Here is a 13,786-nt window from a genome sequence, read left to right as displayed (position 1 = left end):
AAAATTAAATTACTTCTTAGTAGTTATAACATCACAATTGCATTTAATATTTATACAGTATCATAATTATCTGTCACCTCTTTTTGAAATCCATGCTTTTGTTTTCTTCTCATTGTGTAATAAAATGGCAGTTTCCAAAGATGGATGTCTTTAGTTTTTAAATGACATGTTGATTTTTTTCATGATATCTGCAAATATTTTTGTCTTTTTTGACCTCAGAACAAATGTAAAGCATTGATTGGAGCACACACAAAAGTTAGGAAATATGCTGCTTGGCAACTGAGTAAAAGTAAATATATAGTCTCTTAAACTTCCAAAAAAGTATACAATAGTACAGGATGGGTTCTATTCACAAGCTTTCTGTCTGTAACGTAAAAGATATCACTATCTAAAAATAAAATCAGAATGATGAATTTCAGTGACAACAATAAAAGTTTTGGGACCGTGAGAGTTGTTCATCTAATTGAGGGCACTGCCTTTTCTTGTCCTCAGGTATAGGATATTGCTCCATTTTAAGCCATTGAGGGAGAAGGGCTTTGTATTTAAATTGCAAGCTAATAAATAGTCTTTTTCTCATTAACACACATGACCTTTATGATATGTGCTCTCATGCATACTGGCCCAATTTCTCAGTCTCTGTTAATGATGTTTGGAACCTCTGTTTAACATGAATTATTTTCTACCTGAATCCCTGTAAATTCACGATAGGTGTTAATTGTAGTGATCTGCTTGTCCTGTTCAGGAAAGAAAAATATCAAAATGAACCCTACTTGTTGCACTTTTTCTGATTACTTCAATATGTGTATAAAATGATACTATTTATGAAAGTTATGCAGGCAGCTTTGTAATACTTCTGATATTATGATATTATATATAATACATGGGTTTCTTACTTCAAATTAAGCTCTTTTCTATTCTTTCTTTCTTTCTTTCTTTCTTTCTTTTTTTTTTTTTTTTTTGAGACAGAGTCTCACCCTGTTGCCCAGGCTGGAGCACAGTGGCGCGATCTTGGCTCACTGCAACCTCTACCACCTGGGTTCAAGCTATTCTTGTGCCTCAGCCTCCTGAGTAGCTGGGATTACAGGCATGTGCCACCACACCCAGCTAATTTTTGTGTTTTTAGTAGAGATGAGGTTTCACCATGTTGGCCAGGCTGGTCTCGCACTCCCGATCTCAGGTCATCTGCCTACCTTGGCCTCCTAAAGTGGTGGTATTAGAGGCATGAGCCACCGTGCCTGACCCTGTGTTCAGATTTTCATGTATGCAAAATTGAATACTGATCTTTAGGCACAGTGGCTCATGCCTGCAATCCTAGCACTTTGGGAGGCTAAGACAGGAGGATCTCTTGAGGCCAAGAGTTCGATACCAGCCTGGGCAACATAGTGAGACCCTGTCTCTACAAAAACAAAATTAAAAATTAGCCAGGCATGGTGGTGCACACCTGTAGCCCTAGCTTTTTGGGAGCCTGAGGCAGGAGGATCACTTTAGCCCAGCATTTTGAGACCAGCCTGGACTACATAGTGAGACCATTTCTTAAACAAACAAACAAACGAATGAACATCTCTAGCTCCTGGTTAAATATGATTGATTGAGCACGTGTGTTCATCTGTCCTCATTGAAATGTCACTAAAATGCCAATGAGGAATAAAAACCCCCATAAACCCACAATGATACAGAGGATGGGAAGGATACTATAGTAGACCAGAGATGTTTGCAGATTTATAATTCTATAGACAGTTTGGGAATAAATTATTGTAGGTAGATAGAAAATTAAGCAACCTAAAAAAAGATAAAGCTAAGGCAGTGATTATCTGTAGGGAATACAAAATTATACAAAAAAAAAAGAAAGAAATGTAACCCTGGCATACTATGTGGCTCAGGTCTAATAATTTATAATAATGTATATATTAATGTTGATTTAACAAAAAATTGTGATAAAATTATAATTTGAGGAAAGATTGGGAGGGGAAATGTGGAGGGGTTTAAGGGAGCTAAATTCACATTCTTTGTAGTATTATTTCAAAGGAATTAAATTGTATCAAAGACTTTAAAAGTAAACATTAGTATTATAAGTATGGAATTTGGTGGTAACACCAGAAAAAAAAAATCTGAGTTAATTTTATTGATTCTCTTTTGCTTTCTCCATCCCCAGTCACCCCAGAGCCTACAGACACTAATGCATAGGGTAGAGACGATTGCAGCTGGAAGATCTGAGTGCTAGTCCTGACTCTTTCACCAACTAGCCATTCATTTTTCAATTTAAAAAGTCATATTATTTCATAATTCTTAAACCACTTCATCACCCAAGTTCTGTACTATGTCTCATAGATATTTTCCTCTATTATAAGCAGAGTATGTAAGAAGAAACTATTTCCAGCAGCTCTCTCAAATGTATTAATTTCTTATTTGCTTTGTCACTCAGTCATTTACCTAAGTGGCTTTAGAATTACTCTTTCAGTGGAAGAATAGACTATTTTTCTTCTTAAATGGCCGAACAGTCTTAATAACTTGGGGGATAGCATGGAATTACATTTGCATGAATGAAGAGCAATAGTTTCTTTGGTTGGGGCAGATGGAAATATTTTCAGTTCTACATCCTGTGACATTTGTGAGAAGTTCAGATATTTCCAAAATTGCAAAAAGCCATCTGGCCAAAATGGCTTGGCCCTGTTAACTTATTTAGCCCTTCCCAATTACATTTCTTAGCTTTCTCATGTCTTACGTTCTCAGTTTTTACAAAGTTTATTCAACAGTGAATATGATAGTAAATGATGCATAGTGTTTTGAAAGGCACCCAGCTATTACATTGAATTTTATTTAGGTTTCAGAACCCTGTAGATTGAATGGGCATGCAGAAAATATCCAGTATTGATGCACCTGGGCTCAGGAAGACATGATCTTGTCCAAAGGTTCATATTAGCCAGGTCATTGCTACTTCATGTCATATCTGCCTTTGCCAACCAGTTTTTTGTTGTTATTGTTGTTTTACAGGGCAGTAAAGAGCAGCTGATAATAGACACAAGCCAACATTTAATGAAGTCAAGTAAGCTAATACTTAAAGTAGACAGAAGGCTTTGTCCTCTGAAATCCCCCCTGAGTCTTGGTCTCCCTCTTTCCTTCTTGCCCCAACTCTGTCTTTTCTCTGTCTCTTTTTTCTTCCCTTGCCTTTTAGTTCTTATGTCTCACTGTTTTTAGTTGGTTTCCTTAATTTGAGTCTCTCTTCTTTCTTTTCTGATCTTTATTTTCAGTCCTGTTCATTGAACTCCAAGAAAATAACATATGTAGGAAATGTAATTCTAACTGTGGTTTAGTAGATGAGACCATGGAAGGCTAGGAGGTAACTGTAGAATTAAAAATTAGAGTTTCAGTTTTTGAAGAGTGTTGCCAACAGCACAGGCAATCTTGTCAGAGAAAGAATTATCCTAGTTTTTCCTTTTGCTGGGAAATTGTGAGTTGAACCAGATTTCCAGCAAGCAAAATACATTTTAATAGGTATTCTCTTTTCCTAGCTCAAAATAGTTTTTTTTATTTAGAGGAAAATGTATTTTGTTTCTACTTGAGGAATTTGAGGTTTATTGCTATTTTTATAAAGTGAATAGACACTATTTTATGTGTCTTCTGTTACAAAAAGAACAACTTTCTAGATGGGAGAGATGATTAACTTGCATATCAGGGTTAGGCTAATTACTACTATCTGTAATTTTCCCAAAATATATCTGGAAGCTGCTTAATTGCTATAGCATTTTTAAAAAATCTCTTTCCTTTCTCATAGTTTTTCCCACCATAGATAATTCTCAATTATTTCAGGGAAGTTGCCTATCTTTGTATCCCCTGAAGCTTCTAACATTTTAGTTTCTTAGTAAATACTTGTTGAACAAAAAGAAATACCAATCTAGTCCAGTCTCTGGCAGTAAATACTTGTTGAACAAAAAGAAATACCAACCTAGTCCAGTCTCTGGCCCTTGTTACCTGTTTTTTGTAGTTTGTTACCTGTTCATAGAATCATTTAGGATTTTTGCTTCTGGGTAATAGTGCCACTGTAATTCCCAGAGCTTTAAAATGGTGTCTTAATTTAGATCTTTTGTTAGCTCCGTTCCAAAATTTCTTCCTCATTGTACAATGTAAATAGGGCAAAGATAAAAAAATCCAGGCTTATTCCTTTTTTTTGGTGAAATACTAGATATCAAATGGATATCACATTCATTTATTTGTTCATTATTCTCACAATAGCCAAATCGAATCTTAAATAAAGGGATCAATAGAGATGATTTAAAAGATCATGTCAACTGAAAAACATTTAGCAGTATGGCATTTTCTCCTATAGTTGTGGTCTTTGAATACATCATAATTTTCAATATTTTCCCTTCCTAGAAAATAAATACAGGCAATCTCTGTTGCCTTAAAGGGTTTTACAAGTAAGTTTTATTACTTGAGGGTGCAGAAATGCCAAGCTATTCCAGGCAAGTGACCAAATAATGTCTGGGACTCTTTTTCTGGCAAAACAACTAACTATCTTTTCAGGTTCATGAGAACCAAATAGGACTTCAGCTGATTTTTTTTCTTTTAAAATAGAATTATCTATTGGCAGGACCTTATCTCTAATCTTTTTCTAGCTTTCTGTTTTCTTGTAGGACTATTTTGATTTATTGTGAGCCATTTTGCAGGGTTTTATTTACAAGTTTTACCTAACTTGGAACAAGAAATAACATTTGTTTGTTTGCAGATGCCTAGTACAATGTAAAATAGCATAAGCGGTTATATAAGAAACAATGAATTATATTGCCTATGTAATACAAAGTAGCTACCACAACTAAAGAGAAAGACAAGCTACTTCCTTCTTACTTTGATCTTATGGCCCCTGGAGTTAATTTGGGGCAGGAAATGCCAGTGCTGGAGGGCTGCCACGTCATTGGACAAAGTGAGAGCTTTTGGTTATTTTCTTTATGAGCTGTCACCCTAGTTTTGCTAGTGCTGAAGTGACAATAGCAGAAGAAAAGCTTTAGCTAAAGGGACCTTGTTTTTTTCCAGTGGAACAAAAACATCAAGATTACTCTAGGCAATATGACATTATTCACATTCACTAAATCTTTTGAAAAGAATGAATGGAGTACCTTTTTGTATTTTAAAGTAGGTTTATACAAAGGTGTAGCACAAGGCTGGTCACGGTGGCTCAGGCCTGTAATCCCAGCCTTTTGGGAGGCCTAGGGGAGCAGATAGCTTTGAGCTCAGGAGCTCGAGACCAGCCTGCGCAACATGGGGAAACCCCATTTGTACAAAAAAAACCCCACAAAAATTAGCTGGGTGTGGTGGCTCATGCCAGTAATCCCAGCTCCTCAGGAAGCTGAGGCTGGAGGATCACTTGAGCCTGGGAAGCAGAGGTTGCAGGGAGCTGAGATCATGTCACTGTACTCCAGGCTGGGAAACAGAGTGAGACCCTGTCTAAAAACAAAAAACCAAAACCAAAAGTTGTAGCATATACATCTGTACTTTAACTGAATGAGATTTTTAAAGTATAATTTCTTAAATCATTCATATTAAAGTTCTCATAAAAATCCAAGACTAGTTTCTGTTCTCCTTTGTTAGAGCTGTTGAAATACCACTTAGTTTTTAGAAATGGACTGCTTCTGACTGTGCTTTTATCATTCAGAGCATTGAAGTAGTAATTTAATATTTTTATTCCTCAAATCAAATTATTTTTTTCCTATCTTTGCTCTGCTTCTTGGCTTATCAAGCTTGATTATTATATTTGCCTTTTCTTATTTTGAGCAATGTGGTCTGAGTGTATGAAATAGAAAAAAATGATCTTACTAAGTAGATAAAACAATATGGTGGTGTTTTTGCATAATGGAAAAATTGTGAATTCTGGCTTAACGTATTTTTTTTGACATGATTAGGAAATGGTGAAATGAATAATTACCAACTAACACTGATTAAAATTCTTTACTTCCAATGGAAAATACCATTTTTATAAGGTATCCAGATGGCTCTTCCAGCATGCTTATTATTATAAATTGAATATAGAATGAGTCTTCTCGTAAATAAAGCGTACTTTATTTCTGTTATACCACTATAAATGCTATCAAATAGCTGAGGTGGAGGAAATTTACCACATTTCCACCAAACCTTATTGCCACTAGAAAGTGAACTAACCCACCATATTTTTGCAGCATTTCAACATGACGAAGACTATATATCGTTAGCCTCTAGATTTATGCATTTCTGTTTGTTTGTAGTGAGATTCTTAATTCTGTGCTGTTATGATAATAACAGCAAGCTAACCACCTTTCAACAGCAAGCTAACCACCTTTCAACCTTTCAATTTGTTTAACATGGAGAACAAATCCCTGTCACTACCACCTGTAAAAACTTGCTAGTGATGTTCCTTAAAGTTCGTTACCTGAAATTTCTTACTGATAATATAAAATATGGTTGCTGAAAGAATCTTTCTCATAGAGGTTAAATGAGTTTATATGTCTGTTCATGCTTAGCATTTCCTAAGTGCTGGTGATGATGATATTGATGATGCTGTTAGCCACATCATTTGGGATCAAGTAGAATTATCTTTGTCCGTTTACAGCTGGCTTTGCTTCCATTTGAAAATAGTGCAGGAATTTGGTTAATACTACTCCAGAGATTAGAGATTAGCACACCTGGAGGACTGCATCCAATTTCTGGTACTATATTTTAAGAGAGACTTTAATGACTTGAATCATATCCAGAGAAGAGTGACCTGAATTGCTTTAAGGACATGGGTTTCTTCAGTATGGAACAAACAAAACTTAGAGAAAGGCTAGCATAATCAATAACTTGCAGGGCTGCCCTATGGGATGTAGATTAGATTCATTTTTTTTTATTTCTAAAATAGAATTGGTTAAGATTAGAAAGAAACAAATATCTCAGGCTACCATGAGATGGAAAAATCTATTTACTCCTAGGACTTTTAAAAAATGTAATAGGGTGGCTGGGCGCAGTGGCTCACGCCTGCAATCCCAACACTTTGGGAGGCCAAGGCGGGTGGATCATGAGGTCAGAAGTTCAAGACTAGCCTGGCCAAGATGGTGAAACCCTGTCTCTACTAAAAATACAAAAATTAGCCGGGCATGGTGGCGGGTGCCTGTAATCCCAGCTACTTGGGAGGCTGAGGCAGAGAATTGCATGAACCCAGGAGGCCGAGGTTGCAGTGAGCTGAGATCATGCCACTGCACTCCAGCCTGGGCAACAGAGCAAGACTCCGTCTCAAAAAAAAAAAAAATTGTAGGGTGACATATAAGCAACTGACCTACTATTTACTATATAATGGTAATGTCTGTCAGTCACATCATTGGGAGGTTTGAGGGCTGTAGGAGGATAACAGGATGGGCACTGAAGCCATCTTTTATTCTGAGATAAGAGGTCTTTGATGATACCTTGAAAGTGTGGGCAGCTCTAGTCTGGATTAAGAGTGAAATAGTGGAGTCAAGAGATAATATTATAAAGTTTGTCAAAGGCAGAATGACAGGCTTTTGTAATAGTGTATTTGGGAGACAGGGAGAATATGAGGCCTTCTTTTTTGTATGTTCTTGATTTTGTATAATAAGCATATGTTAATTCTGCAATAAAATATACTAAGTTATTAACATGTAAAAATTATTTCATATTTGAAATGGTGTATTTTAAAATAATAATGTGGCATCATGATGGTAATGTTGGGATTTCAAGTCAAGAACTTTGGAAGAGGTTTAATATTAAAATTATTTTCTGAAGCCAGAGTATTTAAAGATCACAGGGTTAGCTTTTCCCAATACAGTAAAAATCTTTATTGATAAGGCCCATCACTTCTAAGAAAGACACAGCTCTGTCACAGTGCTCACTTTGGAGGAATGGAAAGACTCAGTGGGATTGCAGATTTGTCTGAAAATATTTTTATTCAGTTTCTCCTTCCTTATGACCAATAATTCATCAAGGTAGGTTAGCATGGATAATAAATTAAATCCCAGGCATAATATGTATGAGTATGTCTTATATCTTAAAAAGTACTTTATAGATATGTAATCAGTAGAGTGTTATAATATCCTCATATTTGATTTTAGTTTCAAAATCAGGGGCCATTGGTCTCATAGATATTATGGTGTTTTATATCTTCTGGTTTCAGTAAAGCTAAAACTGGATTCATTTTTTTCCAGAATGAGATGACAGTTTGTGCCGAATTACTTACATGTTCTACCTGATATTCTGAGTATTCACACTGAAACAATTGGCCTGAGTAGTATAGCCTAGTATTGGGGTAGAATTTCCTTATCAATAAAATGAAAATTACTCTGTTAAATATATTTAGTAAATATTTTGTTTAAGAGGCTACCTGGCCCTTTTCTATTATTGATACCATAGTGAAATGGAACGGACACATCTGCTGTGGTGAGATGGAGTCCTCTCCACTAAATTAGGAGCTAGCATCAGGATATTAAAGAGGTCTTTTTAGAGTATATTCAGGTATGAGTATTTTAAATGTCACAGGAAGGTGGATGTGATGTGCTTTTATCCTATTTATTTTTTGTTTAGAATTTTCTCTTTGGTTTCAGGCGAAAATCTCCGAAAGTTTTTTTCAAACAAAACATTATTGAAGAATTGAAAAATAACTATTTTCATAATGCATGTATCAGAGTTCCCCAAAACACTTCTGATAAAATTTCATAGCAAAAATATCTCCAAATTTTATGTTTTTCATAACAGAAGAGATAAGTTAATACTATAAAAATGCATCCTCAAAACTGAGCTTTCAAAAATGCTGTGACATAATGCACTTTTTACTCTTAATAATCCAAATTAGACTACCTTATCTTAGATAATATTAATAAAACTTTGCTTCTTAGGAGGGCACAATGATAAGAAACTATAGAAAATATAGAATGGATACCTGATTTATGTGGATCAGTACATCTACAAATACTCTTTCTTTAAGTTTTGAGTTCAACGTTCCAATTGGAAACATAATAGAGAAGATTTTAAAAATATTATCTGAAGAAAGTGATATAAAAATCTAGGTAGTTAGAAGTATGTCTGGTATTATACAAAATATAGTCTAAGGAAATTAGACACAGTACTTTTTTTGGTTTTTCCTATATCTGTTTATATACTCATTAAACTCTATGTAACATATTTGTGAAATTTCTGAAAAAGAAATACAATTGACAGTGGAAACAGAACTAGGTCAATCTTAAAATCAAAGACATCAATCACAATTTTACATTACATTTGGGCTTCTATATACAAAATTACCCAGAATACTTAGGCTCTCTTTCCTTTATTTGTCCTTTGGGGAGACAGTAGAAAGCTGGAGTGACATTTTGGCCATCTACGAATTTCATAGGAGATGTATTTTTAAAATATCTGAAATTAGATATCAATCAAATACTGGACTATAATAACTGAAGATAAAGGGTGTTTGTTTCTGAGAGTACGCTTATGAGGCTTTTGAGTATGTGTGATTTCAGATTAGGGAAGGTTTAAGAGGGTGGAGTATAGAGTGTGCCTATGTCTATTTTCTTTTGTCTTTTATTTCCCACGTCTTCTCATATTTCTACCTCTGGAGGAAGCTGGGTGCTAGACTACATAGGGAGTTAGGATTGAAATATGACAAACGAATCTTTGTACCCTTATAAATTAATTCTGGTCTTTTAAATTTGGCATAGTCATTTTTTTCCTAGGATATTGGTTTCTAACATGGTTAGCACAAAATGAAGTTTGATTTTTACCCACCTCCTGATTTTTCTTTCTGAAGCCAGCTCCTGCTTTGTCCTTCAGAACTTTCTCCCAGTTGCCTAGCACTCTGTCATTACTAAAAATTTTCAGCCTATTAGTATCTTCATGCCATCCCTAATCTACCTTAACATTTCTCTGCCCTCTAATTGGGATATTGTATAAAGATTGTCTTAGCTCTGAATTAGAAGCCTCTCTGGACTACGTTACAGTAACTGAGAATGTTGTACTCCCCCCAAATATGTGTAATCGTCCCTCTGCCTATCATACTTTTGTTTCCCTGAATTGCAATTGCCAGATTCATTTGTTGGTATTTACCTTTTCACTCTCAGTTTTAGGATGTCAGGAGATTTGTCTATTGCAGTCAATGTTGAATCTCTAGTAGCTAATATTTTGTCTGGTACACAGTAGATCTTCAATAAATGGTGTGTGAATAAAGCATGGGCCACTCCTTGCTTCCCTGCTTAGAAACCTTGCTACTATTAGACCTGATCCTTGGAAGGAGCACTAACACACAAATGACTCATTAAAATAACAACAGTAACAACAACTAAGCTTGGCCATATCATTTGGGATGAGAACATAGGTCAACATAGTGACTTTAGTACTCGTTGAATACTGAGGAGCTTCTTTATACATGAAAATATTTCTGCATGTCAATTTAATTCCATAGAATCTCATTAACCTAAGAAAGTCTTTTAAAGAACCACCTTCTTTCTTTCACTCAGACATATAGATGATCACCTTCCTCTATGGGTAGCTATAGATTTTAATCACACAGATAAGTTTGATGGTGTCCAGTTTTTATTTAAACTTTTTGCTACCTCTTTTATCAATATGCAATCCCTGTCATCTAAACTATAATAAATAATTTTGTTCTCTTGAACTACATTATACAATTTATAAAGTAGAACTCCTAAGAACCCAAGATTTGCAATAGATTACACGTCAGTCAACAAAGCTAAGCATTATCAGCTCACAATGACATCTGACTCTCTAAGCTGTTGGTGTTGATGTGGTGTTCTGAGTTTCCCATGCCTATAGTGTCAGTACTCACAAGGATGAAAATGTTGAAGAGAAGTTTCTGTCTTCTCAAACTTCACTTTTTATGCAGGATGTACCTTCTAAGATTGAGTTATTGTGCATGATAAGTGTAATCGGAGAGTTGGCAAGCAGGTTAAACATAATTGACCATTCTGTATTTTCCTGTAATGGACTGAGAAAGAGAAGAGCTTTATAGATTGGGAATGTGAAGTAGATGCATGGAAATAATTGCAGAAAAATTCTTTTAAAAGTCCCTAGCCTTCCATCTACTTGGAACTTCATGTATATTCCTATTTTAAAGGTTTTATTTATAAGAATATGCATAGGTTTTCCTTTCTTGATAAACTAGTGTTCTTTGTGTTTGGCAAATAAGTAGTAACTGCAATTTGACAAATAAAGACTCTTTATCCCCATTTTCTGATGCGAAACTGAGATAGGAATATTATAAAAGAACATACTGATGGGGAGAGTTAGAAGATAATAGGAACAATTAATGAATCTAATGTACTATTGATGGATTGTTCCCTCTCCAAAAAATCACCTATTAGTTATTGTTGTGAGTTATGGCATGCTTATAAAGTTCCTGTTATTATTTCTCTTGGTGTTGAGTCATTTGGTTTTTTATTTTTTTGCTCTATGTTATTATTTTTGTTACAGTTAATATGCATTCATATTAACTATATGAATATATAGTTCGTATGTTTTCTTGGGGAAAAATACTTAAATACTTCTCTGAGACTGATATATAAATTGGAATGTTAATGCTGAACTCAAAGAAATTTCATGAGGATCACATAAATTGGGTTGTAATTATGTAATGTATTATACACATTTATATGTAATATATATTACATTATACATGTACAGAAAGAGATGTGCAGGCCTGTCTATCAGCATGCCTGTCATATTGTAAGATGGCAAATGTTCATTTTCCCACACCTCTTCTTTAGATCTGAAGTGGATTTCCTAAGAGCACAGCAAATTGTTAATCTGGCACATATTCACAATTTAGTGAATGTTTCCTTCTTTTCTTCCTTTCCTTTTTCCTTCCTTCTTAATTTGTAATCTTTCTACTCAAGTAAATATAAATGCATGTTTATCCAAACATAATATGTTAATAATATATTTATTATTTTCTATGCATGCGTCAACAGAATATCTCAAGCGTTGCACTGTCACTTTAGGACTGAGCCTGGACTGTGGCACACATAATCCACTGGAAGGAAAACCTAATTCCCTTTAGCCTCACACAGTTATTTTTGTTGTGGTTCATTTTTTTTTTCACTGCAATCACTTAATTCCTATTGATTTGTGTGGAAAATATATTGTTTGTAGAAAGAAATGAATCTTTTTTTTTCTACTTTTAAAATGCATTTTATATATGCCATATCCGTGGTTAGAAGAAATTTTTTTACACTCAAAGGTTTGAATTGACTTGTTAGCATCATATACTTATATGAATTCATGCATTTTATATGTAATTTTTTTTAAAATCTTGAAAAAATAAGTGATTTAATATGAAAGTTCTGTACTAGAATTTTGTTTCATTGATTAATTTACTAGGAAATAGGGATAGGAAGGTAAGAGCTTTAAAGTTGTTTTGGAGACATGATTTCTTGTTTTTTATTGAATAGGTGACTCTTCTCTGAAACCATTATTAAAGAGATGTTTACTAGAGGTATCTGACCTTAATCCCAGTTCTGATAATGAATTTCAATTTTATATCGTATTCTTTTGAAAGACCATTTGGGTGTGTTTAGCTATATTGCTTTAATAATGATACCTCTGTTGGTTTAAGAACTATTTCTGTCTTTACCAGCCTTGAGTCTAGTACCACAAATGACAGGGAGGTTATTTTATTACAGCCTGATTCTCTCAATGTGAGGATTAAGAGGGTTAATTTATGTTCCAAGCTCACTCCATTATTTGTTCCAGAGTCTGGTAAACATTACTAAGGAGTATCACAGTTGGATTTTGAATCAATAACTTCAGACACTGAACCATATATTTTAATGAGAAGCTGGATTTTCTTTACAATGGTCACATCATACTATTAGTTTCTTGGTGATGTAGTAGAGTTAGAAAAGGTAAATATAAACACACAAAGTACTGTGAGGTCTCCAAATGTCGTTGTAGCTCATCCTTCTAAAAGGCTTACTAAGGTCAACCACAATTCTTTTTGCTATGCTGTTACTCTGGGCCACTTCTCAATAATTTTGAAATTGTGTATGATACTAGCTTTGAATTTATCACTTATTTGAATTCTTCAGTTTGCTCCTAAGAAAAAGTCGTATTGACATATCTGTGAGTTATTTACACCCTTCGTTGGTATATGCTCTATGGCTTATTTCAAAGATGAGCTAGGAGCCTTCTGAGATGTATATACAGTGAACTAGAATAGGTAAATTCAAATCTCTGTAGGCTTGTCTCTTTTTAGTATGAACAAAAAGGAATCATGTTCTGTTTCATATGATGTCTTCTCACTTGAGAATACTAAATGCATACTACTCAATTCATGAGCCTTCTGTGTATATTGTAAATGAAATGTTTAGGCCAAATTTTGGAAATAATCTATATTCTGCTGTAATATTCTTTTTAAAAGTTTTTTCTCTTAATAATTTTTCTTATAATTGGATATATGTTTTATGACTGTTAATATTAACTCTGATTTTGCACTTTGCTCCTCTGTAAAAATAATATTTTCATTTTCCTTTAGAAGAATAACGTAAATCTAGGCCATGGTCACTCTTAACACTCAAGTCCTTACTTTTCAAATGAACAGATAAAAGTAGTCACTATTGTGTGAAAACTGGAGTCAGTTCTGTCTTTTCCCAAAACTCCATGATACTGATTGTAGCTGTTTCTAGATGTGGCATTCCAGTACAACGCTGTAGTTCTCCCAAGCAACGACCTAGTTAGCAATGCATTCGTTAGGGTAAAATGATATATAGAAGCAAAGCTGTAGTGAAAATATTAGCATCTGAAAGAGAAGATCATTGTAGTCTTT

The 13,786-nt window shown here is 34.4% G+C and overlaps 1 protein-coding gene across 24 annotated transcripts in view, besides 1 other annotated feature; it reads left to right on the top strand.

The window, feature by feature from the left end:
• The window catches only part of IMMP2L (inner mitochondrial membrane peptidase subunit 2), an 899,849-nt gene that overhangs the window by 419,208 nt on the left and 466,855 nt on the right, over nt 1-13,786 (top strand). The window lies entirely within an intron of this gene.
• Nucleotides 7,286-7,486: a silencer, noted in NCBI's record as "peak6687 fragment used in MPRA reporter construct". NCBI's record gives its function as "represses an SCP1 promoter by STARR-seq MPRAs in K562 erythroleukemia cells {active_cell/tissue: K562}" and the evidence as "EXISTENCE:reporter gene assay evidence [ECO:0000049][PMID:32103011]".

This window comes from Homo sapiens, chromosome 7 (assembly GCF_000001405.40).
Source record: "Homo sapiens chromosome 7, GRCh38.p14 Primary Assembly".
In the NCBI taxonomy this organism is placed as follows: Eukaryota; Metazoa; Chordata; class Mammalia; order Primates; family Hominidae; genus Homo; species Homo sapiens.
Note: the sequence above shows the minus strand (reverse complement) of the source record. Positions and strands in the feature narration are given on the sequence as shown.